Source organism: Homo sapiens, chromosome 21 (genome assembly GCF_000001405.40).
Source record: "Homo sapiens chromosome 21, GRCh38.p14 Primary Assembly".
Classification (NCBI taxonomy): Eukaryota; Metazoa; Chordata; class Mammalia; order Primates; family Hominidae; genus Homo; species Homo sapiens.
In genome coordinates, this window is record NC_000021.9 from 34,402,818 (window position 1) to 34,430,670 (window position 27,853).

The 27,853-nt window shown below is 45.6% G+C and overlaps 1 protein-coding gene and 1 long non-coding RNA gene across 6 annotated transcripts, besides 2 other annotated features; one reads left to right on the top strand and one right to left on the bottom strand.

Moving 5' to 3' along the window:
- Nucleotides 1-535: 535 nt before the first annotated feature.
- On the top strand, nt 536-23,201 carry LOC105372793 (salivary glue protein Sgs-3). 4 transcript variants are annotated; one of them, XR_001755015.2, is made up of 6 exons: nt 3,314-3,579; nt 4,863-5,131; nt 5,473-5,603; nt 16,605-16,656; nt 16,749-16,962; nt 19,223-23,201. It is a non-coding gene; the product is annotated as a salivary glue protein Sgs-3 (long non-coding RNA). The 4 variants fall into 4 exon arrangements; XR_007067849.1 differs by lacking the exons at nt 16,605-16,656; nt 16,749-16,962; nt 19,223-23,201 and adding an exon at nt 536-2,295 and having other exon boundaries at nt 3,511-3,579; nt 5,473-10,638; XR_007067850.1 differs by lacking the exons at nt 16,605-16,656; nt 16,749-16,962; nt 19,223-23,201 and adding an exon at nt 12,869-13,502.
- SMIM34 (small integral membrane protein 34) lies at nt 11,682-21,134 on the bottom strand. Of its 2 annotated transcripts, XR_007067788.1 has the most exons (3): nt 21,016-21,134; nt 16,056-16,813; nt 11,682-13,092 (listed from the first exon to the last, which is right to left on the bottom strand). XR_007067788.1 is itself a non-coding variant. In NM_001367348.2 (2 exons), exons 1-2 carry the CDS (start codon nt 21,020-21,022, stop codon nt 16,401-16,403), a joined length of 420 nt encoding a protein of 139 aa, NP_001354277.1. In that variant the 5' UTR covers nt 21,023-21,134; the 3' UTR covers nt 15,898-16,400. The 2 variants fall into 2 exon arrangements, 1 of the variants encoding a protein (NP_001354277.1); NM_001367348.2 differs by lacking the exon at nt 11,682-13,092 and having other exon boundaries at nt 15,898-16,813.
- Nucleotides 13,875-15,074: an enhancer, noted in NCBI's record as "BRD4-independent group 4 enhancer chr21:35788990-35790189 (GRCh37/hg19 assembly coordinates)". NCBI's record gives its function as "activates an origin of replication core promoter dependent on BRD2, P300/CBP, MED14 and CDK7 cofactors, and independent of BRD4, by STARR-seq in HCT116 cells {active_cell/tissue: HCT116}" and the evidence as "EXISTENCE:reporter gene assay evidence [ECO:0000049][PMID:35650434]".
- Nucleotides 26,888-27,389: an enhancer, noted in NCBI's record as "NANOG hESC enhancer chr21:35802003-35802504 (GRCh37/hg19 assembly coordinates)". NCBI's record gives its function as "activates a minimal SCP1, AML or CMV promoter by ChIP-STARR-seq in primed H9 embryonic stem cells {active_cell/tissue: H9 hESC(primed)}" and the evidence as "EXISTENCE:reporter gene assay evidence [ECO:0000049][PMID:30033119]".

The following is a 27,853-nucleotide window of genomic DNA, read 5'->3' on the forward strand; positions in this document are numbered from 1 at the left end:
TTACATTAAAAAATATTACTCAGCCATAAAAAAGAATGAAATCACGTCTCTTGCAGCAACATGGACAGAACTGGAGGCCATTATTCTAAGTGAAATAATTCAGAAACAGAAAGTCAGATGCCACATGTTCTCACCTTTAAGTGGGAGCTAAATAATGTGTACACATGGGTACAGAATGTAAAATAATGGACTTCGAAAGGGAGGCTGAGATGGGAGGACCATTTGAGGCCAGGAGTTTGAGACAAGCCTGGCCAACATGGTGAAACTGCTTCTCTACTAAAATGCAAACAAATTAGCCAGACATGGTGGCTGACACCTGTAATCTCAGCACTTTGGGAGGCCAAAGTGGGTGGATCACTTGAGGTCAGGAGTTCAAGACCAGCCTGGCCAACATAGTGAAACCCCATCTCAACTGAAAATACAAAAAAATTAACTGGGCATAGTGGTGCGTGCCTGTAATCCCAGCTACTTGGGAGGCTGAGGCACGAGAATCATGAGCCGAGATTGCACCACTGCACTCCAGCCTGGACAACAGAGCAAGACTCCGTCTAAAAAAAGAAAAAAAAAGAGGATAGGATTAGGGTGAGGGATGAGAAATTATTTAATGAGTACGATGTACACTACTACACTCAAAGCCCAGACATCACCACTGAGCAATCAATCCATTTGACAAAACTGCACACCTGCACTTGTACCCCTTAAATTTATATACAAACAAAAACAAAGGCAAATCAAAAATAAAAATAAAACAAAATGATCTCTAAACAATACAAACAGTAACTGATGAACCTAGCTGCTTATCATGTCAGTTCCAAAATCACACAGAGTTGAATTTCTTTCAAATGACCCTACAACACAGTATTTTGATCATATATTCTCCAGTAGAGTATAAGCTAAGGACAAAGAAAAACACATGAAATCTTAAATGGTACTCGGTAGTTTTATTGTTAATAATGATGCTGGTATTATTATTTTGAAACTCATGTCCATTTCTCAGCTGCCATTTGATATTAATTTTTTTTTTTTTTGAGGTGGAATTTCACTATCACTCAGGCTGGAGTGCAGTGGTGTGTTCTCAGCTCACTGCAACCTCCACCTCCTGGGTTCAAGCGATTCTTCTGCTTTAGACTCCCAAGTAGCTGGGACTACAGGCACGTGCCACCACACCTGGCTAATTTTTGTATTTTTAGAAGAGACAGGGTTTCGCCATGTTGGCCAGGCTGGTCTCGAGCTCCTGACTTCAGGTGATCTGCCTGCCTCAGCCTTCCAAAGTGCTGGGATTACAGGCGCGAGCCACTGCGCCCAGCCAGTGATTTTTAACCTTTATCAATCTGATAGACAAAAAGATCATTTCATTGTTTTAACTTCTTTAATTATGAGTAAATCTGGCAATATATTATGAAAACAATGACAAGAAGAACTTGATATAAAATGCACAATTCAGACGTCCTTGAAGATCATTTTAGAGGCAGCATGAAGTGGGGGGTGGCACTGGTGATGGGGGCTGGGTGTGGAGAAAACCAGCCAAAGGAGGACTCATGGGATCCTGGAGCTTTTGACTGGGGTTCACTTGGAGCCCATACTCAGGCTGGTTCTGACAGCAGCACCTGCCAGGCCTCAGCTTAGGGGCACAATGTGGGACACATGGACTGGGGGTGTGGTCCCAGAGCCTAAGAGGCACCAACAGAGAGGTCTCCGCAGAGACTCATCTGTGCCCCCCACCCACCACCCCGGGACAGGCCAAGCCAGCGTCTGGCCAGGAACTGCTTTTGCACAAGGAGCCAGAAGTAGTTTGCCCCGATAAATGGGGGCCTGGACTCACGCAAACCATTGCACCATGGATGGCCAGAGAAACTCAGAGAACCTTCCTGTGCTTGTTAACATACTCTCTCACGTCCTCTGCAGCCTCTGCCAAGCCAAGCAGCCAGCTCCTAGGACTCCCCTCCCTCCACCTGAGGCTCCTTGTCCTCCCTTCCTCAGGAGTCTCCAGCCTCCCGGGACTTCCCCTCCCCGCTGCCCACTCCAGCAGAGGCTGCCAACTGCCTGGGAGAGAGAAGTGGGCTTCCTGGGGCCACCTCCCCAACTTTGGAGTGTTTGGAAGGTGATGGAGCGACCACTAGGAGGCAGTGTGGACAGGTCTCTGTAGGACTGCTCAGGCAGACACCTTTGCAGGGACCTCCCAGGTCGGGAGCCCTCCACACTTTTCCCATGGGAGCTTCTCCCTCCACCCCGAGTCACTACTATCTGCTTTCCTAGAAGGCACTTCTTTACTTCTAATTCTTCTCCACTGCCCAGGTAACTGATATTCTCAAGTGGGACATTGTAATTTGTTTAATTCATTTAAATTGATTTCATATAATTGGGAGATAAAGATTGTTCAGTTGCAAGACAAAGTCTTAACTTGAACTCTCAGGACACGGGTGGGTCCCTAAACTCAATACGTGAGTGTTGCTGCCGGGCTGTTGGGCCATCTTCCACCCGCCATAGATCACTTTCTTCATCAAAGAAGAAGGAATATTTAGAAACTGGTAGTACAAAAAAACAAACAAACAACAACAACAACAACAAAAAACCAAAACAACAAAAAACACCAAATCACCAAAAACAAACAAACAAAAAACAAATAAAAACCCAAAGCAGTTGCTCCTATAAATAGATGTGTGTATACATGTGGCTGGTATGAATCTTATCCACAAATTCAGTTTTGTGGGAAACATCACATTTATTTATTTAAATCAAGTCATATGGGACTTGGGCATGGTTGGAGGTTCTTACCCCACCCCACTTCCCAAGGCCAGTGCACAGGCAGGGCCTTGAGGTCACCCTTAGCCGATGCTTGGGTCTAGGTGCTCAGACCCAAGCCCCTGTGGTCCCATCATGTGGGCACTGGCATCTTTGCTGAGGCTGAGAATTTCAAAGCCAGGATCCAGCCCATTTAGGTAAACCCAAAGTCACTCTCCCAGGTGGCCCAGTCATCTTCTTGAGAACAAGAGCCATGAGCCTCAGTTCCCTGCCTCAAGAGCCTCTGTTCAACCCTAGGCTTGTAGACAACTCTGCCCCTTCTTCTCTCCCTTCAGTGTCACGGTCCCCTGTCCCATCCCTCTCTGGGACAGGTACCACAACCTCCCCACCATACACAGGGAAAGGGTCAGCCCTCAGGTTTTTGGCCTGGCATCTTGAATCTCCTCCCAGGCAACAAACCACAGAGGGCCTGGCATTCTCCTGTGAAAAGCAGGGCGGAAAGGAAACACAGAGAACAAACCCACAGACAACAAACCCACAGAAAACAAACCCACAGAAAACAAACCCGCAGAGAACAAACCCACAGACAACAAACCCACATCAACAAACCCACAACAACAAATCTACAACAACAAACCCACAGAGAGCAAGCCCACAGGGAACCAGCCAAATTATGTCTGCTGTGCATCTCGGCAGACGATGCTGCCACCGTCTGTGTATGAGCATGTGTGTGTCAGACTTTCCCATCGTCTCCAAACTTGTTTTCAGAATAATGCTTCCAGTGAAATGAGTCGGCCACATGAGGTCACAAAGCCCCTACTCTGTTCAGCACCTGGGGTAAGTAATAATATTTTGGAGCACTTAGTGTGGGGAGTAGCCCTGACCCCTTTACATGTCATGTCTTAGTTCATTCTTGTTGCCATCCTTGGAATTGAGGCCAACATCATCTGCCCATTTGCCAGACAAGCTGCTCAGGAGGAGAGGGCCACAGCCCCTTATCTCCTCGCCAAACAAGAGAAGATCCCCAGTTGCTTTTTTTTTCTGTGGAAGAGATTCTTTTAAAAACATTTTTTTCATGGAGAAGAAAATCTGAAAAAAAAGAATGAAACCGAACCAATAGTCCCATAGACAGTTAGTTGTTGTTGTTGTTGTTTTGTTTGTTTGTTTGTTTTTGATGAATACAGAAATTGACCCTTCTGGTCTTAAAGCTTGAAAATTAAATTTGTTTTATCTGAGTTGCTTCCTCAGGAAAGGAGCCCAAGTCCTCTCCAAAAGTATCAGAGAACTGAAACTCACCAGATCATCTTGTCTAGACAATGAGACGTCAGGCCCTCCATTCATCATGACTGCTTCCTTACCCCTCCCGAGTTCCTGTTACATTTCTTCCCTGCTATATAAACCCCTAATTTTAGTGGGTCCAGAAGATGGATTTGAGACTGAGCTCCATCTCCTGGGCAGCAGCACCCAATTAAAGCCTTCTTCCCTGGCAATACTGATTGTCTCAATGATTGCCTTCCTTCCTTCCTTTCTTTTTGAGATAGAGTCTCACTCTGTCACCCAAGCTGGAGCACAGTCGCTCTATCTTGGCTCACTGCAACCTCTGCCTCCCAGGTTCAAGCACTTCTCCTGCCTCAGCCTCCTGAGTAGCTGGGATTATAGGTACCCGCTACTACAGCTGGCTAATTTTTGTATTTTTTTTTTTTTATAGAGATGGGGTTTCACTATGTTGGCCAGGCTGGTCTCAAACTCCTGACCTCAGGTGATCCACCTGCCTCGGCCTCCCAAAGTTCTGGGATGAGAGGTGTGAGCCATCACGCCCAGCTGAGTATGTGTGTGTGTGTGTATGCTTATGGGGATGTGCAAATGTGTGTGTGAATGTGTGCACGTGTCCTTGTGAATTGTGAATACCCAGGACTTGAGCACACTCAGTTCCTGATGCACTTCCTGTTTTCTCAGCAGCTGAGCTCAGGCCTGGAACTGAGTGACAGCACACCCGGGCACCTGTCTCCCTGGGCACCCCTCCCACGCCTGCTTCCCACGGCATTCCCAGCTCCCACCACTGGGAAGGAGCTGGAATCATGAGTCGGGATAATCACCGAATTCTCTTCGACCTTCCTCAGCTCCTGGTTTGTTAAGGCAAACCCCCATCTCTGGCTTCTCCTGGAACCTCACCTGGGAAAGAAAGAGGCAGCCCCGGAGCTGGAAGCTGCTTCAGGGCTCACCCGGAACAGCAGACTCAACCTGGACCCATCCAGGCATCTCCTGGGAGTTTCACCCAATTGCTTCTGCCTGGCACCAGCTCAGAGGTTCTGACAGAATTGGCCTGGGGTGAGACCTGGCATCCATGGGATTTTTACAAGCTTCCAGGTGATTCTACAGGGAAGCCAAGGTGAGAACCCCTGTCCTAGAACCAGGTCTGATCAGGGGCCGGTGGGGAACTGTGGGTGGAGAACATTAGTGCTTCCAGAGCCTCAGGGTTGGTTTTGAAAGGAACGTAACACATTTTTTTTTCTCACAAAGACATATAGAGAGAGACTTTTTAAAATAGACATATATATAGAGAGATGTTTTAATAAAGAGAGGTTTGGGTTTATATAAGTAAAAAAGATGATAGAAAATAGAGAATGAGATTAGGCTTCCCCTTGCTCTCAAAAAATGGTTTGAGAGTCTTGGAACTGGTTCCACTCTATGATAGCCATGAGTACTGTTCGCCCAACTTTTGGTTCTCAGCCTTCCAGGCCCCGGTGGGATGAGACTTCCCTGCCCCCACGGTTGAGAGGAGCCATGGGCTTATTCTAGCCAATGAATGGTGGATGGACGTGACTCGTGTCTCTTCCAGGCTGGAGCATTTAATTGTCCAGGTGAGATACTCAGGGACTCGTCCCTCCAGAGCTGAGAATGGCCATGTTTCCAGAGGGTCTGCAGGAGCAACCTGAGTCTCAGAGCACAGCCACCAGCAGACCTGCTGCACGCATGTGGCGGGGGAAAGAAAGAAAGCCAGCTGTCTGCAGCCACTGAGAGTTTGGGGTGGTTGTTTCTCATGACAAAACCAGCTCACCCTGACTTATACAAAGTCTTTGAGTTATATAGATGGAGAATGAGGCTCTTGGGTCCCTCTATTCTCACAAAGCAATAGCCTAGCTAAATCCATCTAACTAGGGAGCAGAAAAGGGGATGTGCTGGCTTGCACACCCTAGACAGTTGTTCAAGAAGTCAGGACACCAGGCCTGGAGTGATACTTCAGCCATCCTTCTAGGTGAGGGTCTTGAGGCCACACAGACAGAAGTGGCAGAGATGGGACACACATTCGTCTTCTCACTCACAGTCTGGCACTGAGCTGTGGGCTGCTGGGACACCATGCCCCCATACGAGTAGCCTTCCCACTCCTTACCTTGAAGGAAAAGTGTTTTTTGGACAAATACCTGATGGAAACATTACATGGGCCTTGGAATCTGTTAGATCTAGCTTCCTGAAACTCTTGCTAGCTGTGTGACAATATACAAGTTTCTTAACCTCTCTGAGCCTCAGTGCTCTAATTACACTCCCCTCATAGAGTTTCTAAGAGCATCCTGGGGCTGGCACGTGTCAACGCACCCAGTATTTGATAGAGTTTGTTAAACGTTGGTTATCCTCTCTCCCTATCGCACCTCAAATGGTAAGGGCTGCCTGCCAGCTTCCATATCCCCAGCAGTGCCCTGAGTTGTTCAGATGTTCATCCATCTCCCACAGAACTCAGGTTCCTTTGGAGGAAGCCACATCAAGTCCTGCTCCAAGCTTAAGCCAGTCAGCACATTCCATGCTCTGCCCCATTGCCAGGGTTCAGGAGTATGCTCGTGATCTAAGCACCCCCACTCCCAGATACAGCTCAAGATTCTTGCTTGGACTTCTGGGCACTCAGGCTCCTCCGAGAGGGAATCAAACTTACTTCTCTCCATGTCCTTTCCTCTAGGAGATGCGTCTTTCATAAAACTCTCATCAACACTGTTCAGACATGTCCCACCCCAGCAGGGGACAGCCTGGGCTCAAGCTGGGATCCCTACTTTATTTATTTTCTGCTAATTAAACTTCCTAATATACTCCACACTAAGTGTGCTTGCAAGGCAGGGGGTGTGGGATAAGCGGCCCTGCCTGGCTGGGAGAGGGGGCAGCTCCCTGCTGTACTATGTATTAATAAAGAGACACATGCATGGCAGGGCTTGTCTGGGCCTTGGTGGCAGCTTAGGACAGAAGGCACGTGACAGTCAGGGGTTCAAACAACCCAGGGAGAACACTGCTTCAGGGAAGACAGCTCAGCATCTTCCTGGCAAAGATAATGACATTGATAATACTCTCCAAAGAATTTCAGGATTTTGAGCAATCAGAAAAGCAACACAGAAATTCATGTCATCAAAACGATATGGCTCTATTGGACACTTAAGACATTTATTGGAGGCTCAACAACATAATCCTGCTGGTTGGTTTTACTTCATTGATTTTCCGTTGTGTCTGATTACATTGCTAATGCTGATGGTGGATGAGCTACGGCTCTTTTCCTGCCTGTCCTGAGGTTTATCCACCAATGTTTCAGTTCTGTTTTAAGATATTGTCCTAAGCCCCCAGCATCGCATGCATGCTGTTTTTTTGTTTTGTTTTGTTTTGTTTTTTACAAAGAGTTCATAGCCCGTGGAAGACTCTCCTCCATCACACACTTAGGTTCCCTCCACACCAGGCCTGGAAGGAGTCTAGCTTCTGGGGACTGTACATATGCTGTGGACCATGCAGAACCTGGAGAGGCGGTGACCCCTTCTAGAAGTGATCTGCCTGAATCCTTCCCTCTGGAGGAGGCATTTATTAAATGCCAGGTTCCTGAAAGGCTCTGAGATGGGCACTCCCTCTCCTGAGTCGTCCCTTCCATTACTGCTTTCCTATTTCTGGCCAGGGTTCCCTGGCCCCTCCTCCCTGCTCCCATGGGACCCCAGTTCATCCCCATCTTTGCTCAATTGCCCTGCACTGTAGTAATCCATTGGCACTCTTGTCTTCTCCAGGAGAAATAGTTGGAGGAGAAGTTTATAGGGTTTCCTGGGCCAGGGCTGGTCTACAGTCACTGGACAGCAGGAAACGACCCTTCGGGGCCTAGGAGGGCCAAGGCTGGTGGGCAGGTACAGGGGGAGCCAGCACTGCTGTCCACCACTGTGCAGCCTGGAGGCTGTTTCCCATGACCCTGCTGATGGGACCCAAGGCACCCCAGGCCACCCACTCCCCTGCCCCCAGCAGGGTGTCAGCTCCCCGGCTTCCCTGCATGCCTGCCTGACATGGACAGTGCACCTTCGGGCCACACTTGCCCTGCTAGCGAGCCTCCAGTGAACTGGGAATTCCACAGAGTGTAGAGGACTCGCCCCAGCACTGTGCTGAGAGGCTTCACCAAACTGTAGCCTGGCTTCCACCTGCACTAAGCTGCATCCCCAGAGGCGACCCCAGCCCTGGCTGAGTCTTGGCTCAAGACTTTGCAATGCAGCCAAATCACAAAATGCACCTCGTCCAGCCCACCCCGCTAAACCATTTTCAGTAGTTCTCCCCTCACCGTTCTGGAACTTTCCATTTCCACGTGGCCCCCACGTTCTGTTTTCATTTCTCCTTCAGTCCCTTTTTGTTCCCTTTCTGTTCTCTCTTTGAAGACCTCAGTCACCGTTTTCTGAGTTGGGGTTGAGCTTGGTCGGTACTGGAATCTCTTTCCGCTGCTGCAGGAGTCTGAAGGAATCAGTCTTGCCGCCTGTAACACATGTCCAGCGCTGCTTTTTCTCTGATGAGTGTCTTAGTCAGTTTGGGCTGTTAAAACAAATGGCTTAGGCAACACACGTTTCTGTCTCACAGTTCTGGAAGCTGGAAGTCTGAGATCAAGGTGTTGGCAGATTCGGTACCCGGTGAGGACCTGCTTCCTGGTTCGCGGGTAGAACACTTCTTGCTGTGTCCTCACAAGGTGCAGAGAGAGAGGGGGGTCTGGTGTCTCTTCCTGTAAGGGCACTGATCCCATCATGGGGGCCTTACAATCGCGACCTCATCTAAACCTCCCGAAACCTCATCTAAATCTCACCTCCATACTATCACATTGGGGATTAAGGCTTTAACATGTGGATTTCAGGGGACAAAGGACAAAAGCATTCAGTCCATGGCACATGCTCAGTGCCTCGACTCTTGCAAGTGCCACACCACAGCCTCTCTGGGGCTGTGTCCTGGAGGCGTGTGCCATGGGCCCTGTGTGCCATGGGCAAGGCGCACAGCATCCTCCCGGCCACCCCACCAGCGAGTGAGCTCCTGGCACCCTGGCTCTCTCTGGTCACCCATCTACCAGTCTTGGTGCTCCTGTGCACTAGAGGACCAGCTGCCTGGGGACTGTGGGCCAACTGTGGCCCCGGCCACCCACGAACTTCCCCTCCGGCCAGTGGCTGCAATCACATCTTCTCTAAAGACGTCTGAAGCCCAGCCTTGGGGAGCCGAGTTGGTCCTTCCCTGGGTACTGAGCCCTAGGGAACCCTTGAGAGTTCTCTTTGTATCTTTGTAGTTTCTTCCTCACCACTTAATCATTTCCTTACAGGAAACTTCCTGTGTTCAAGTGACTGTATGGTTTCTGCCTCCAGCTTCATTTGTGGGTGCCATAAGAGAGGCAAGCATGGAGCACTAGGCGCAGGGGATGGGCAACTGGCAAGCGGGGAGATGCATGCAGCGCACTTAGTGCCTGGTACATACCAAGTCCTTTTAGTCTGGATTTCATTATTTTTAAATGGGTATTGCTATTTTTAAAAGAATAGTTACAAATATTTATTGTGTGTTTTGAAATAAGTGGGTCAAGATCAATAAGATATTGTTGATCAATTGATCAATAAGATATCTTTTATTCTTAAAAATCATATTCTTCTGGTTCAGTGGGGAAGAGACTGCCGACCTGTATTTACAGCATTATGTGATAAGTGTTCTCCTTTTCAGGTATGTATTAGTCTGTTCTCATGCTGTCAATAAAGACATACCTGAGACTGGGTAATTTATAAAGGAAAGATGCTTAATTGACTCACAATTCCTCATGGCTGAGGAGGCCTCAGGAAACTTACAATCATGGCAGAAAAGGAAGCAAGCATATCCTTCTTCGCATGATGGCAGGAAGGAGAAATACAGAGCAAAGTGGGGAAAGCCCCTTATAAAACCATCAGATCTTGTGAGAACGCAATCACTATCAAGAGAACAGCATGGAGGTAATTACCCACCGGCTCCCTCCCATGACGCATGGGGATTATGGGAACTATAGTTCAAGATGAGATTTGAGTGGGGACACAGGCAAACCATATCAAGGTGACTCCTGCAAGCACCTACCTCCACCCCTCCTTCATCCTTGCCCTCATTCTACAATGATTTGGTGAAATCTGGTCCCTGCCTCAGTTTTACAGCCTCCCCATGACTCTGGTTACTTCCTGATTAGCTTAAACGAAACCTAACTAGGTTGCCCTAGGAAAGCATTTCTGTTCCTGACACCCCCCATCTGCCTGCTGCTTCCGTTCCACCTGTATGTGTCTGGGCACATCCCTGCATCCCTTTGCTGGCTTCTAGCCTACTCACTTCAAGCATTTATCCCATGAGTTTCATAAAATCGTAGAAGAAAAGGGCTTGAGGCAGTGGTGGGGAAATGATAGGAAAGTCATTTCTGGATGCATTCTGCCATCCTGCAGATCCCTAAACCACCTCTCCCTCTCCATTCCCTCCCTCCAGAGAACAGCTTCTCCTTGTCTCCTGTGGAATAGTTCCGCCCACATTCATGGGCCCTTCCTGTACCAAAACTGTACAGGTCTCTCTTGCTTACCAAACACTTGGCAAACAAATGTGCCGTCCTTGGAAAAATTCTGTTGAATAAAATTTTCTCTCTTTGATCCATCCAAATGTTTTACAAAGTGCTACAGAAGCCATGGAGGAACAAGCAATTCTGCCTTAGGGATCAAGGTTTCACACAGGGGGTGATATCTGAGCAACAGTGCTTTTTTGGTTTGTTTGTTTTGTTTTGAGATGGAGTCTCGATCTGTTGCCCAGGCTGGAGTGTGGTGGCACAATCTCGGCTCACTGCAACCTCCGCCTCCCAGGTTTAAGTGATTCTCCTGCTTCAGCCTCCTGAGTAGTTGGGATTACAGGTGCCCGCCACCATACCCAGCTAATTTTTGTATTTTTAGTAGAGACGGGGTTTCACCATGTTGGCCAGGCTGGTCTCGAACTCCTGACCTCAAGTGATCTGCCCACCTCGGCCTCCCAAAGTGCTAGGATTATAGGCATGAGCCACAGTGCCCAGCCAACAGTGCTTTTAATTGGCATTTTCTTCAAAGACTTTGATGTCCTATAGGAGGGGGCCTATGACTCAGCCTCAGCCAATCAGAGCGCTCCATTCCCTGGGTCACCTGCACACCTGCTCTTCCCTGATCCACTGCAGTGCCCTCACCCTGAGATCTGAAACTTGAGCAGAGGCACTAAAAGGCAGACATGGGAGCTGAGCTGTCTTTTGGGAGAATCCTAGTGAGAAGGTTCTCCAACTGGGGCCGCCAAGTAAGGGCCTCATGGCAGACTAACCCCTCTCCTTCCTAAGGCTGGGAGGAGCTGCTGTCCTTTTGATTCTGTGAGCTACCTCAGTTACCTTCCTCAAAATCACACACACGCGCACACACACACACACACACACACACACACACACACACATTTGCATGCGCTAGGTAGAGCTGTTTTCCATAATTGCCAACAGAAGACTAACTGTATTTGAAGAATGAGCTGGCATTCTTCTGCTCCGGTAGAAGTCAAGGCAATCAGTTATGAGAATCAGAGCCCACCTGTGACTCCAGAAAGAGGTGCATAAATACCAAGAATTTAGTCTCTAAAGTCTTTCTTTAAGTCCTTTTTTAAAAAATGTGATGAGTACATCACCCAGGAAAATCAAATTGTAATGCAACCGAGTCGATGCAAGTTTTATTTAGGAGATGGGTTACAATCACCTGGGGAGGCTCTAGTTACCTTGATTTGGTCTGGTACAAACCCTAGCACCATCATCCACAGATCCCCAGAGGAAGTCATTCCTGGATGACTTCCTCATCGATTTTAAATAATTTCCATTTCAGAGGAAGGCCTTTATCTGACCTGATCCCCTAAATATTGGGGGAAACCTACATAGGGACAAAGACAGCAGGTGTCTGCAATGTTGAGAATCAGTGTGTTCTGTCACTGTCTCTATCAGGGCTGGTGGCACATGCAAATCTCTTTCCCACTCTCCAGTTGAACACTAACGCCATGGTGCCCACACCTTCCTTATTAGTCCATGTACATGGGGTTTGTCAAGACAGTGGTTCATGGCTCTGACCCTGAGCATGTCAGATTTCAGGGGCTTTATGCAAAATATCCATACCAGTTGGGGTCATTTCCCATCAGTATTGCTCACAATGGAGCCTACAAACCCCTAGTTCCCATCCAACACATCTCCAAGGCAGACTCTCAGACCAGCTCCCAGAAATGAGGTGAGTTTAGATCAGGCAGCAGAGAGGTGGCCTAGGAAGGAGTCCTTGGAGCTCATGCACCTGTGTCTGGGCACCAACAGGAAGATGGTGGCTTTTGCTCTTTGGGAGATATCTTTGGAGCCAGTCTCTGACCACATGTCCAACAGGACAGGCATCCTTGGGGTTTCCATGGCAGTCTACTGACAGTCAGGGGTGAGGATTAAATGGTACAGAGTCTCACTGAGTGCTCTTTGAGAGGTCAAGCAATGAGAAGTCCTGCAAATGATTATTGAGCTGAAGTAAGAAGTGTACCGAATCTGTTTTTCCCCTATAAATATAAAAGCCTATAAATATAAAAATCTTGGTGAAAAAAAATGATCCCAGCCTCCCACACAGCACATCACACATCTTCTCTTTTCAAATTTGACTCCAAGGCCCACTTCCTTCGGGAAATCATTTATCCAGTGGTATCATTTAGGATATTTTTGGTTGTGAGGAACAAAAGCCTAGCTCCAAAAGACTTAATAAAAGGATCTCATTGGTTCACAAACTGAAAAACTCCAGTGGTAAATGAAGGCTCTGGGTACAGTTGGTACAGGCTCTGGTCTCTGTAATTTCCTAGTTCTTCTCCCTTCTAGATGCTGGGTTTTTGCCTTCAAGTTGGCTTTCTTCATGGTGGCAAAATGGATCCAGCAATTCTGTCAGAGGTTTTCGAAGCAGAGTGACTCCATCTTGATTAAAGGCTGTGTAAAATGAGGATGAGACTTGCTGGACTGCATTCCAGGAGGGTAGGCATTCTTAGTCACAGGGTGAGACAGGAGGCCAGCAGGATTGATATCACAAGACACAGGTCACAAAGACCCTGCTGATAAAACAAGATGCAATAAAGAAGCCAGCCAAAACCCACCAAAACCAAGATGGTGATTAATGTGACCTCTGGTCTTCCTCACTGCTCATTATATGGTAATTGTAATGCATTAGTGTGGTAAAAGACACTTCTACTAACTCCATGACAGCTTACAAATGCCATGGCAATGTCCAGAAGTTACCCTATATGGTCTAAAAGGAGAACCTATATAGTCTAAAAGAACTGAGGGTTCTGAGAAATCCCTGACCCTTTCCTGGAAAATTTATGAATAATCCACTCCTTGTTTAGCATACAATCAAGAAATAACCATAGTGTACTCAGTCAAGCAGTCCCTGCTGCTGCTCTGCCTATGGAGTAGCCATTCTTTTGTTCTTTACTTTCTTAATAAACTTGCTTTCATTTTACTTTATGGACTTGCCCTCAATTCTTTCTTGTGCAAGATTCAAGAACCCTCCCTTGGGGTCTGGATCAGGATCCCATTCCCGTAACAATTTCAGGCTCAGATCGGCTTTTAACACCATCCAGAGCAAGAGAAAGCTTTTTTGTTCCAGAATTCCCCATTAAAGTTCTCCTGGTCACTCTTATTGGGTTGTTTCGCTTAGGGTCAGGTGTCCATCCTGGTCCCAAGCAATGAGGCCAGGAGATGGGATGCAACGACTGGATCAATCTAGGCCTCTTATTCCCACTTTTTAAAACACTTATTATTATTATTTTTTAAAAATTATTTTTCATTCAGCTTTTTCATTTGAAACTTATTCCAATTCTTGAACTGGGGGTAGTTTCAACTTTCCTAGAGCTGTATGGGTCCTCAAATGAAAATTCGGGGCAGCTGGATTAGAGAAGGGGGAAATGCATGCTGCAGGGGCAACCAACAAGGGGAGATTGTGCCAATTCACTCTTCCTATCCTCAGATTCACCTAAGTTCTGACCATTCAGCCCCATTTGAATGCATTCTGTATTCCTATGACTGTGGATTACATTTTTGTCTACCTTTGTGTCTTCTGTTTTGTCCTGCCCTATAAGCATCTCAAACATATGCATAAAGCCTATATAAACTTTATAAATAAACTAACACTTCTGTTTTCAACCTGTAGGATGATGACAATGATGATGACGACAATGATGATGGTAATGATGTGGAAAATGTGAAAAGAGAAAGAAATACTTGGAAATATATCTCACCCTCCATAAACAAAGCTCGGGGTTTAATTCTGACCTGTATGAGTTCATGGGGTGAACTGCAGACCGCTGTCTGTGGACAGGAAAACGATATTTCATCTCTAGCCCCAGGGACATCTCCAAAAGCTGAGCTAGATGAACTTTATATAAATTGGTACAAAATATAATTTTCTCTTTGCCTGCTGAAAGCCATTTCTAGAAATTCTGTTAATCAGAATCTCCCTAAGTTAATCAGTCATCTAGACAGATCTTATTTCTTTTTTAGACAAAGAAAAGTATATAAGTAACAGGTATTGGTAAACCACTTGAGTGAAGCATATGATATCTAATGTAAGGAAATCTAAAAGTGTCCACAGGCAAAATCTCATGGATTCAATTGATAGCACAGGTCATCAACTGACATGCAGACGGAATTCTCTTGTGGAACAAGACAATACAGCCATTGCTTAGAGACTAATTGTCAAGGAATTAGTCATTTCCTGTTTCAGAATAGCATCATCACCACCACCATTAATGCCAACATCAACCACCACCACCTACGCCACCACCGTTAGCATCATAACCACCACCAATAACATCACCAACAGCAACACTGCCATCAACATAAACCATCACCACCACCAAAACCATTAGCATCACCTAGAACCACCAGTCACCACCATCACCACTTACCACAACAAGGCTTATATTTACATACTTATTTTACTTTTCGAAATACATTCACATGCATGGTTTCATTAGATCTTATCTACTTGGTAAGGTTGGCAGATCTGACATCATTAGCCTCATTTTATCTGTATGGAAACTAAGTTCTAGAGAAGCGAAGTGATGTGTGAAAGGACACCAGAGTGATTGATAATCAAATCCAGACTAGAGTTTGGTTCTTCTGACTCCAAAATTAATACATTTTTCTTAAAAGAAAAAAATTTTTTTTGAGACAGGGTCTCACTCTGTCACCCAAGCTTGAGTGCAGTGGCATGATCACAGCTTACTGCAGCCTCGACTTCCCAAGCTCAAGCAATCCTCCCACCTCAGCCTCTCAAGTACCTGGGACCATAGGCACATGCCTGGCTAATGTGTTTTAAACATTTTTTGGCTGGGCACGGTGGCTCATGCTTGTAATCCCAGCACTTTGGTAGGCCAAGGCAGGCGGACCACAAGGTCAGGATATCGAGACCAGACTGGCCAAAATGGTGAAACCTCATCTCTACTAAAAATACAAAAAAATTAGCCAGGCGTGGTGGCACATGCCTGTAGTCCCAGCTACTCAGGAGGCTGAGGTAGGAGAATTGCTTGAACCCAGGAGGCAGAGGTTGCAGTGAGCTGAGATTGTGACATTGCACTCCAGCCTGGGCGACAAGAGCAAACTCCGTCTCAAAACAAAACAAAACAAAACAAAACAAAACAAAACAAAACAAAACAAAACTTTTTTTTTTTTTTTTTTGTAGAAACGGGGTCTCCCTAGGTTGCCCAGGCTGGACTCAATCTTCTGGGCTCAAGTGATCCTACTGCCTCAGGGTCTCTAAATGCTGGGATTCAGGCATGAGCCACCACACCCAGCTCCAATGCTTTTTTTGTCGTACCTAATTCTTTCAATGAAAATGAAGAATTTCCAACTTCTGATATTAACAACTTTGGTCCTATATTCAAGCTAGAGTCTTTCAAATAAAATAGACTTTTAAAACCATCTGTCTCCAAACCCTAAATGTCTCAGGTGAGCAACTAAGCTGCTCAGTTTATGTGACTCCCCAGAAGTTGAATTTTAACCCAGAACTGACTCCAAGTTCATTCTTCTTTCCACGACAAGGAGTCACCTCCTTGTATGCCCCCAGGAGTCTCCCGGATTCCTCCGAGAACAGTGGAATAGTGCTCCTCCCCAGAGCACAGGTTTTGCCAGTGAAGATTGAATTTGGCTAGAAACCGCTGCCCTGCTCTCTCTTCTCGAAGCACCTGGAAGTCTGAGAAGGAACTGGGTGGCTGGCTCTGGTCACAAACTAGCAGCCAGAAGCACCCCTTGTCAGTGATGCACCCCCAGTCCCCCTCAAGGGCTCCAAGTAAACCCAAAGCTGCTCCCCTCCAAGAAGTCTGGGGCCACCCTAGGGAAGGCCTCCTGGCCTTGACTCTCAGGGGGTCTCTGGGGTTGCGGTTTGGGGCCCGCTGCTTCCGCCCTTTGCCCCCAGGTGGGCCTGGCAGGGCTGCAGCACAGCTCTGTTGCTGATAGACAGGGTGGAGCACTTGGCGACCTTGCCCTGCAGCCCTGTCATTTTGAGTTCAGAGGTCAGATTTGAGTAATAAACATCTTCTAAGGACTTGTCATTCTTTCTGAGGATGTTGCTGGCCAGCCGGAAGACGAAAATCACCGCGTAGATGCCGATGATGGTGAGTATATACCAGGCAGCGCTGGTTCCGTCTGGCACCTTCAGAGCCCTGGTGGAGTTGGTGTCATTCCTCCCCTCTGTGTGGTCACCCAGCAGGAGCCCCAGGAGGGTGCTGGCCTGGGTCTGGTTGGAGGCTTCATGGGGAGTCCACTTGGCCCCTGAGAAACAGAGAGGTCCGGATGAGATCCAGCGTCCTGGGCTGAGGGCTGCCTGGCCACACCAAGGAGAATGGAGCCCTCATATCCGTGAAAACGTGTCGCTGCTCAAAGAGGCCTTCTCTGAGGCATGAGCAGGAGTGTAACAACAGGTATGTCAATATATTTTTAAAAATCAAAAGAGTCCAAAACACTATTTTGTTGTTGTTTTGTTTTGTTTTTTGTTTTGTTTGTTTTAGAGAGACAGAGTCTCTGTCACCCAGGCTGGAGTGCAGTGGCATGATCATAACTTACTACAGCCTCAACCTCCTGGGCTCAATTGATCCTCCTGCCTCAGCCTCACAAATAGACATGCAGCACCATGCCGGGCTAATTTTTTTCTTTTTTCTCTCTCTTTTTTTTTTTGTAGAGATAGGGTCTTGCCATGTTGACCAGGCTGGTTTTGAATTCCTGGTCTCAAGAGCTCCTCTCACCTTAGCCTCCCAAGCCCTGGGATTACAGGCAGGAGCCACTGTGCCCAGAAAAACACTAAGTTCTTGAATAGGAGACACAACATCATAAAGATGTCAGTTATCCCTCAAATAATTTATACAACAAACATAATTGCAATAAAAACAGCAATAGGATTTCTTTGTGAAATCAATAAACTATTCATTTAGAAAAATCAACTGTTGGCCGGGCATGGTGTCTCATGCCTGTAATCCCAGCACTTTGGGAGGCTAAGGTGGGAAGATTGCTTGAGCCCAGGAGGTTGAGACCAGCCTGGCCAACATGACAAGACCCTGTCTCTACAAGAAATAAAAAAACTAGCCAGGTGTGGTGTGCAAGCCTATGGTCCTAACTACTCAGGAGGCTGAGGCCGGAGGATCACTTGAGCCCAGGAGGTTGAGGCTGCAGTGAGCTGTGTTCACACCACTGCATTCCAGCATGGGACCCTATTTAAAAAAAACAAAAAAAGAAAGAAAGAAAAAGAAAAAGAAAAATCAACTGTCAAGACTAATTAGAAAAAAAAATCTGAATAAAAAGAATGACTAATGAATTAGCCTAGCCACAAATTTTAAATCAGCCAGCTATAAAAACTAATTTACATTTTTTTCAATGAATGAAAGCTTTATATGCACAAAGCCCAGCTGGGACTTGCTGGGCTTTGCAGAGTGTGTGGGCTGGGGGTTCTTCAGAACCAGGTACAACTCTCCCTATAAAACTACAACAGTGCTGGGCATGGTGGCTCACACCTGTAATCCCAGCACTTTGGGAGGCTGAGGCAGGTGGATCACCTGAGGTCAGGAGTTCGAGACCAGCCCTGCCAAAATGGAGAAACCCCGTCTTTACTAAAAATACAAAAATTAACCAGGCGTGGTGGCACACACCTGTAGTTCCAGCTACTAGGGAGGCTGAGGCAGGAGAATCGCTTGAGTCCAGGAGGTGGAGGTTGCAGTGAGCCAAGTGATGCCTGTAGTTCCAGCAAGACAGAGCAAGACTCTATCTTAAAAAGTAAAAAAATAAAAAATAAAACTACAACAGCTAAAATAGTGTGATGCCTGTAGTTCCAGCTACTAGGGAGGCCGAGGCAGGAGAATCGCTTGAGTCCAGGAGGTGGAGGTTGCAGTGAGCCAAGATCGGGCCACTGCACTCCAGCCTGGGTGACAGAGCAAGACTCTGTCTTAAAAAATAAAAAAAATAAAAAATAAAACTACAACAGCTAAAATAGTGTGGTGCTGAAAACACAGGCAAGCAGACCAATGAAACAGAGTAAAAACAGCATCAATAGTTAGCAATTAGAATTTGATAGCTAGCTAATAAAGGAGCATTTCTGATCGGTGGGAAAAGATGAATTATTCAATATGTAGCATTGGGGGAAATAGCATTAGATCCACATCTCTCCACCATATGACCAGATAAATCGGTCCAGATTAAAAAAAAAACAGCCCAGATAAATCAAATATTTTAACATAAAAAGTGAAATAATTTATAGTACTAGAGTACAGCATGGCAGATTTTTTCTTTATCATCTCAGAGTGGAATATTCTTTTAAGCATAACAAAAATTCAGAAGAAACAAGAAATAGAAATCAAATTCAACTACATAAAAAAAATTAAGCTATTTCATACCATAAAACCAACAGGCAGATGACAAAGTGCAATTTATATCACTGATTTTCTAAATAGCCTTCGGTTCTGTAAGAAAAAGTTTAAAACTGCAGTAGAAAAATGTGCAAAAGATATGGACAAATAGTTCACAGGGAAAAAATGAACATTCAACATAAGAAGAGCTTCTCAATATCACTCATATAAGAAAAATGCAAATTAAGATAATAACTAGATACCATTTTGTTACCTATTGGACTTGCAAATTCATGATGTTTCAGAATAAACTAACAAAAAAATGGCTTTTTTTTGTTCTTTTGTCCAGCTTAGAAGAAAGGTGTCTAAATTGGGAGCAAAGGTGGCAATGACGTGGACTTGACACCAAAAAAAAATTTTTTTAAAGAAAAGAAACAAGTGCCTCTGCATTTCAGGGGTTTAGGATTGGCATTTTTAAAATGTCAACAAATAAATGTTCATATCCACACTTGACATTTTTTCCAAGGAGAATTTTAATTGTATAATTGCTGGTAAATTCATGCAGCCAACATGGAGGGCACACGGACAAGATCTATGAGCATTACAAGTGCACTTACCTTTGACCCAGCAATTCTATCTCTAGGAATCTATCCTAAAGATGCTCCAGAACATCTAGAGACAACATATGCTGAAGGTTAGTCATTGCAGTCCTCCTTGTGATGACGAATGCCTGGGAACAGCCTGAATAGCACCAACTGAGGGATGGTGAAATACATTTTGGAACCTCCATGCAGTGGAGTACTACACAGTCATAAAAAGCAATGAGTTTTTTATGGTACTGAATGTTAATAAGTGAAAAAATAAGCTAATGGTGACATGCTCTGCAATGCCACTTGTAAAGAAGGGGGAAGTTATATGTTATTTGCTTGTACTTTTTTTATGTATAGAACATCTCTGGAAGAATGAATAAGAAATTAGTATCTGCAATTGCCTCTGGGGAAGAAACCTGGGGGAAGAAGATATATTTTTTACTGTTTGCCCTTTTGTACACTTAGTACCGTGTATACTTATTTTTGAAAAGCAAGAGTGTACCAGTTGGTACTTTTCTGGTCTCCCTGGTGAGGTGCCCCTGGGTAAAGCCGTTGTATGCCCTTGTAAGACCAGAAGATTAAGATCTCAATTGCTGTTCAATTCAAAACTGTTTTCTCTGCTTGGAGAGCTGGTGGAGAAAATGAAACAATGAAAACCAGAGCTGTAGAGTGCAATCCTGTGAGACATTTCCCAGTGGGGCCTTACTGGCTCAAACCCCCATTTCTTGCTCTAATGTGAACACAGATGTATTTAAAAACACATCATAGGATCAATCTTGCAGCCTGCTGTGCAGAACAAAGGTGCTCCAAAATGCTTCCCATTTGATCGTTGTTTGTTGCTAATTCATTTTGCGAACGCAAGACTCAGAGAGGCCAGTATTTTTTATTATAGTTAGTTGCCAGAATGTGTGAATGAGCTTATTACTTTTAGATGAAGGAAGAAACTATTTAAAAATTACTTTTCAAACTACATGTGACAAAGCCCAGGACAAATGAACAGATTTAATTACATAAAATTAGTCACTCGCAAGAAACAACACCACAAGCATAAATTTACACCATTGTTTGGTAGAATGGTTTGAGACATTAAAGTAAGGAAGGTGAAAAATTCCCGTAATTATTGCAACAAACAAACAGACAGCAAATCAACCCAACAAGAACACAATATCCTTATATTAGGGCAAGAGAACTTATTGAAACTCAGAACACATGTATAAACTCATAGAACTTTCTAGAAATTGTCATAGAATGATGCAACACATTCAAATACAAATAAAATATCCCCAACTAAGAGCTACACACAGAACATTAAATTATTTAAAAACCAGTCCATTTTCTACACGAAAGAAACTCACTATATTAATTACTGCAATACATTACATTTTACCTTTCTTACAAAGGTAAAAGTAAGTTAGGTTGTATCTTAATGGACAAACATATCCTGTAGAAGAGAGAAACTTTTTCCTCTGTGCTATTTTGTACTTGTAATTTAATGACGTGAAATATGTAAAATCTCAACCTGCCCATCCTTGCATTGTAGCTGAGTACTCACATTCCATGGGGTGGTCTTGTCCTTGACTCTTGGAGGGGCAAGTTCAAGCGGCTACCATGCACAGAAGGGGAAGATGATGAAAGGAGAACTCCGTCTCCTAGGGAAGAATCAGTCCTACTGCAGTTGAGCTGCACTGAGTTTCCAGAGTGGGGAGTAATATGATCTTCCAACAATCTTAGGGCAGCACCAAACAGAAACTTAGTAAGTGGATGACTTTGCTTTCATGCAATTAATCAGAGGATCCGATTTGCTGTGTCTTCTGTTGCATCAGAACAGAAAGCACTTCCCAGCTTTGACTTGTTAAGAAGTTCTCAATCAAAACAAATTTTTAAAACGTGCTGGTATTAAGGAATCTCCATCTCTCAGGTCCCATCATGAACTGAGGTGGCCAGAAGCTCCCCCTGAGGCTGGCTCTCCGCTTAGAGCTTGGATGGCTATTGAATTCCCCTGTGTTCTGCACCTGTTGCAGGTGTGGCAGATGGCCAGGTGTGGCAGAGATCTGTCATCATAGGGCCAGGAAACTCCATGGTCAAGAGTCACCAGCTTCCTCTGGACAGTCTCCCAGATGAGGAAACCCAGACAGGAAGGGAGTGACACCCCAAGGGTGACACACCTGAGGGGACTTGGGCTTTCCCTGAGGGGTCAGTGGGCAGTGGACTCCTGTGCCAGGTGGTGAGAAATGGCTCTTCTCTTTCCCAGAGTCACAGACCCCATTGGAGTTGAGGTAGGCTTAATTGGAAAGTGTTAGAGTAAGTGTCTGCGGGTAAAGTTTCCCCAGGAGCAGGGAGGGAAAAGTTGGAAGACTGGCAAGTTAAATCATCCAGCCATTGTTTCCAGTTCCATTTCTTCCTAATCCTCACTCTAGGACTCTAACTTGCCACGTTTGTGATGGTTGCTGGTTTTTAAGATACAATTTGATGAAATTTCCATCAATGGGGTACTGGGTAAGTAAGTTATAAAATAAGCCATATGATCCAGCAATTCTACTCCTGGGTATCTTCCCAGGAGAAATAAAAATGTAAGTTTACACAAAAACTTGAACACACATGTTCAAAGCAGCATTATCTGTAATAGCAAAAAATGGAAACAACCCAAATATCCAACAACTGACTAATGAATAAATAAAATGTGGTTTATCCATACAATGGAATGTTATTCAGCAATAAACAGGAATGAAGTACTGATATATGCCATAACACGGATGAAACTTGCAAACATTGTGCTAAATAAAAGAAGTCAGTCACAAAGGACTACATATTGTAGGATTTCATTTATATGAAATGCCAAGAATAGGCAAATCTACAAAGATAGAAAATAGATTAGTGGTTCACTAGCGGGAGGGATTGGGGGTGATAACTAAGGGTATATAGCATTTTTGGAGGGGTAATAAAACTTCTAAAATTGTGGTGCTCACTGTACACAATCTGTGAATATACAAAAAAATTGAATGCATACTTTAAATGGATGAATTTTATGGTATATGAATTATATTTCAATAAAACTGTTAAAAATTATAATATACAAGCTGGGTGCAGTGGCTCACACCTGTAATCCCAGCACTTTGGGAGGCCGAGGTGGGTGGATCCCCTGAGGTTGGGAGTTCGAGACCAGCCTGACCAACATGGAGAAACCCTGTCTCTACTAAAAGTACAAAAAATTAGCCGGGCATAGTGGAGCATGCCTGTAATCCCAGTTACTTGGGAGGCTGAGGCAGGAGAATTGCTTGAACCCAGGAGGCGGAGGTTGCAGTGAGCAGAGGTTGTGCCATTGCACTCCAGCCTGGGCAATAAGAGTGAAACTCCATCTCAAAAAAAAAATTATAATATACATATACAATGGAGTATTACACAGCTGTGAAAAAGAACGAGGAAGCTATTTATGTACTGATGTATAAAGCTCTCTAAGGTGTGCTGTTATGAAAAAGGTAAAGAAGAGAGCATGTTAACATGTATCCAAAAATTGAGAGGAAGCATATATATATATATCTGATTTTGCCACTGTAAGCATTTAAAACACCAGTGGAATATCCAAGAAATTAAGAAGAGGGGTTACCTATTGGAGGAGAGAACCAGGTAGATATATGGCAGGTGTGGGAGGGAGAGCTCTCACTAAATATTTTTATGCTTTAAATATTTTTAACCGTATGTGTATTACCTATTCAATAATAAATGCACCCATTTGTTAGATATCTTTGTTGAAGATTCATTTGGCTCCTGCTGTCTCTTGCTATGGGATGGACCATGGCATCCCCCCTCTGCCACACAGACAAGGGATTTGGACACTGCCAGTGGGACGTGGGAGGGGAGAGCACCTGACCCGTGATAATAAGGGGCTCGTGGCAGTGATAAGGGCTGGGAGTCAGGGCTCTGGCCCCAGCCACATCCTTGCTGCATGACCCTGGGCCAGCCCCCTCATCTTTGTGAGCCTCAGTTTCCTCATCTGTGAGGTGAAGGTGGTGAAGGAGGTGAAGGATGAGCAGGATCTTATGTCCTTGGTCCTGAGAAGGCAGGAGAGAAGCCTGGGGCTCTGTGTGGGAAGAGCCGCTCTCTGGGGAGGTATCTGAATAGATGAGGGAGAGCACACCGGGCAGCCAATGTGCCAGAGGTGGAGGCTTTGGAGAGTGTTTCATTTGTGAAGTCAACAGATTTAACATTCAGATCAGGAGGACGTTGGCATGAGATGTGGGGAATCATAAGCTCCAAAACAATCGTGAGACAGAAGGAAAGATGGCCTTTTGTTGAGCAGCCATTCTCCTCCACGGAGAGTCCTGTCTAGTCTGCCTGTTGAAGGGGCACTGATGTTAGGGAATAGATCTGTGTCAAATGCTTCCCACCTCCCAGAATCCTGTGAGGCAGGAGTATTATCCCCATTTAAAGAGAGGACACTCAGGCTCAGGGAAGTGACTGGCCCAATGTCCCATAGCTCATAGGTGCCAGAGGTGGGTCATCCACACCAAAGTCATTCTCCTTCCATACCCTGAATGTCACCTTCACGCTGGACCCAGGATCCTGTGTGGTGAACTGTCTCGATCACTTCCCTAAAGGTTAAATCATAAACTCTTACTGCCAAGGCATATCCACGACCTTAAACTCTCCCTGTTGGGCAAAAACAATCTCTGATGTTAAAAGGCAGGATAGTGGATACTTTTCAGGGAAGGGTAAATGACAAGGGCATGAGGGGAACTCTGGGTGCCGGTCATATTCTGTTTTACAGGTTTGTTCAATTTGAGACACTTCATAGAGCTGTAGCCTTGTGCACAGGCACTTTTTTGCATGCATCGTCTGCTTCAATATAAACCTCTTCCTGTTGTCTTGTTTTTGTTTTTGTTTTTGTTTTCTCTTGTTTTCTTGTCCTGCTCTGTCACCCAGGCTGGAGCTCAGTGGTGTGATCTCAGCTCACTGCAGCCCCTGCCTCCCAGGTTCAAGCGATTCTTCTGCTCGGCCTCCTGAGTAGCTGGGATTACAGAGGTGTGCTACCACACCTGGCTTCCCTGTTGTTTCTTTAATGTAGAAAGCCCTGATAGATGGTGGGAAAACAAAGTTTAAGGTATTCATAGAAAAATACAAATACTATTTTTAAGGATTCTATATCTGGCCACATGGTGCCATCTCACGAAGAGTGTCCCCGTCCCTTGAGGGGGAGTGGTCGGGATCATGGTCAGTGTGGGGCCCTGCAGCTGCCTGCTTCCCTATGCTGTGTGGATGACGCCCGCCTCCGGTCATTCCCCTGTGCTTACATAACAGTGAAATGGAACAACCTGTATCAGCACGAGGGCCAAGAATTTTCTTCTGACTTGTGGATACCTCCTTCCTTAGGCCTCTGATCAGTCTGGACAAATATTGCCCTGAACGCAACCAAGCAAAGCCACTCACCTGGTAAATATTTGTATGAGCTACAGTTCTGGAAGAACAAATTCCAATATCCTGCAGTCCCCTTGACATCAAAGACCCAACTCTCCCAGAGGGCAATGGCTTTTTTGTCCACTGAGAAGCCAGTCAGCTTCGAAGAAAGGTGTCTAAATTGGGAGCAAAGGTGGCAATGATGTGGACTTGACTCCAAAAGAAATTTTAAAAAGAAAAGAAGTGCCTTTGCATTTCAGGGGGTCAGTATTGGCATTTTTAAAATGTCAACAAATAAATGTTCATATCCACACTTGACATTCTTTCCAAGGAGAATTTTCTAGAGGAGACAGACCTCATCGGTCAGCTCTGATGCCCTGCAGTGCAAAAAGACATTAAAAATGACGGTAAAGGACCCCTGCAGAGAACAACTGAGTCTCTTCCTTGCCCTGCGTCTCCAGATAAAGGATGCCCTGCATCCATCCCCTCCTGGCTAAGAGCACAGACTCCAGAGGCTTTTTCCTCTCCTGGAGGTTAAAGAGGCATCACATATGTTTAAAATCTTTAATTTATATGTCACCTTTGTCCTTCCTTTTAACTTCATTTTTCTCTTATCCAGCATTTAGGGACTCATCTTTAGGGAGGTTCAAAGGAAAGCTCATGGCCTTTAGAACTGGAAGAACCATGTTCCAGTTGGGACTTGATCATTTACTAATTGTGGGATTACAGCCAAGTCACTTCATCCCTCTGCTGTAAAAAAAAAAAAAAAAACAAAAAAAAACATATGATGACATTTGTGGAATGGCTCCCCAAGCCAAAGAGGGCAAATATTGTCACAGCTCATTTCTTCTCTCAGTTAATTACTTGCGTCCTCGGCTGCCTGGCTGGCAGGACAACCTATATTCGCCTCCCTCTTAAAGCCTCCTGGGTTGGCCAGGACTCCAAGCGGCTTTGTCCAGAATGAGTAGGGTGGTTGGCCTGGCCTCCTCAGCCAATCAGAGAGGACTAGCATCTGAACACTCCTCTGTGCTATTGCTTCTAGCTGCCACATGGGGACGCTGTTGAAACACCGGCCTGGTGCAGTTGGCCATATGATGCTTCAGGGTCTTCTGAGACTTCAAGAATGTGCTCACAGGGAAGGTATTAGCTCTAAACACTTGCCTCTGCTAGTTTACATCACAGAACAGACAGACAAGACTGTTTTGCTCCCTCAGCTCTCTCCTTTTCCTAGCTTCAGTCCTGGGGAGCTCAGAAGCTACAGTTTGTTTTTTGTTTTTTGTTTTTGTTTTTTTCTTGAGGGAGTCTTGCTCTGTTGCCCAATCTGGAGTTCAGTGGTGTGATCTTGGTTCACTGCAACCTCCGTCTCCCAGGTTCAAGCAATTCTCCTGCCTCAGCCTCCCGAGTAGCTGGGACTACAGGTGCCTGCCACCATGCCAATCTAATTTCTGCATTTTTAGTAGAGTCAGGATTTCACCATGTTGGCCAGGCTGGTCTTGAATTCCTGACCTCTGGTGATCACCCACCTCAGCCTCCCAAAGTTCTGAGATTATAGGCGTAAGCCACCGCACCCGGCCAGAAGCCACAGTTTACAAATCTGGGGGATTTGGGGCATGGGAACAGAAACAGAAGAGTCCCAATGAAAGGAAGATACCAGCTGAGCTGCCCACTCTCCCAGCTGCAGTTCTCCTGCCCACAGCAGGCCCTAGCTGGGACAGGGAGGAGCCCCAGCCTTAAATCAAATTCAGAATTTTGTTTATGACATAAGACTGCACATCTTAATTACTGAATTAAGACTATATTTTCCAACCTATCATGACTATAGGTGCAGGGCAAGATCAAACTCCAGTGTATGTGGGGCCCGCAGAAGAGATTTAAAGAAACAGTGGGGGCAGAAATAAAGCTGTGTGGTTATCAGATCCCATGAGTCTTGTCTGTAAGGATGATGGTTACAGTCGGGATGCTCCAGAGTGCAAAGCCACATCTCAACCAGAGTTAGTAACAAGGGAGAGTTTACTGGTTCATGTGAGGAAGAGAGAGGAAGGGGAGGGCTAGCCAAGGGGCTGGATGCAGGAAGGAGGGTCCCCAGGGTTCTCTGTCCCCCTCCTGTCTTCCATCTCTGCCTCTCTCAGCAGGTTGGCCTAATTTCCTCCGACTGCAGAGAAGCACACAAGCTGTGGCACCTGGTGCTCAGACTCACACTGCAACACTTCCACCAGTAGATGGCAGAGAGGTACTTTCCTGCCTGTTCAGCCACGAAAATCCCAGGGGATGGCTCTGACTAGCCTAAGTCAGGAACCTGCTGTGGGCAATCACTGTAGCATTAAGATGGGGGCCAGTGATGGAGCCGGTCTGCAGCACATGCTCAGCAAAAGACAAAACCCGCCTGTTTTAGATCACTCCGGCTGCATCACAGAGTGTGGATTGAACAGGCACAGAACTGGAGGCAGAGAAACAAGTTAGGCAGCTGCAGGCATAATCCAGGCAGGAGATGACAGTATTTGAAAGAAGGAGTGGGAGCAAGTCTGGAGAGAAGTCGATGGATCCAAGAGATTTTTAGAAGGTAGAATGTGCAGAACTTAATTAGTTGGTGCAGTGGGTTGAATGGTGTCTCCCTAAAAGATATGTTCACCTGGAACCTCAGCATGTGACCTTATTTGGAATAAGGGCTCTTGCAGAAGTAAGTAAGGTGAGAATCTTGAGGTGAGATCGTCCTGGATTACAGTGGACCTTGTATCCAATGGCAAATGTCCTTATAAGAGACAGAAAAGGAAAAGAAAGAGACACAGGGAAGAAGATGTGAAGATGGAGGCAGGGATTGGAGTGATGCAGCCTCAAGCCGCAGAATGCCTGGAGCCACCAGAGGTTGGGAGAGGCAAGAAAAGGTCCTCCCCTAGAGCCTTCACAGGGAGTAGCGTCCTGCCAACGCTTTGATTTTGAGCTGGTCTCCAGAACTAAGAGAGAATAGATATCTGTTTTTCTAATCCACCAAGTTTGTGGTT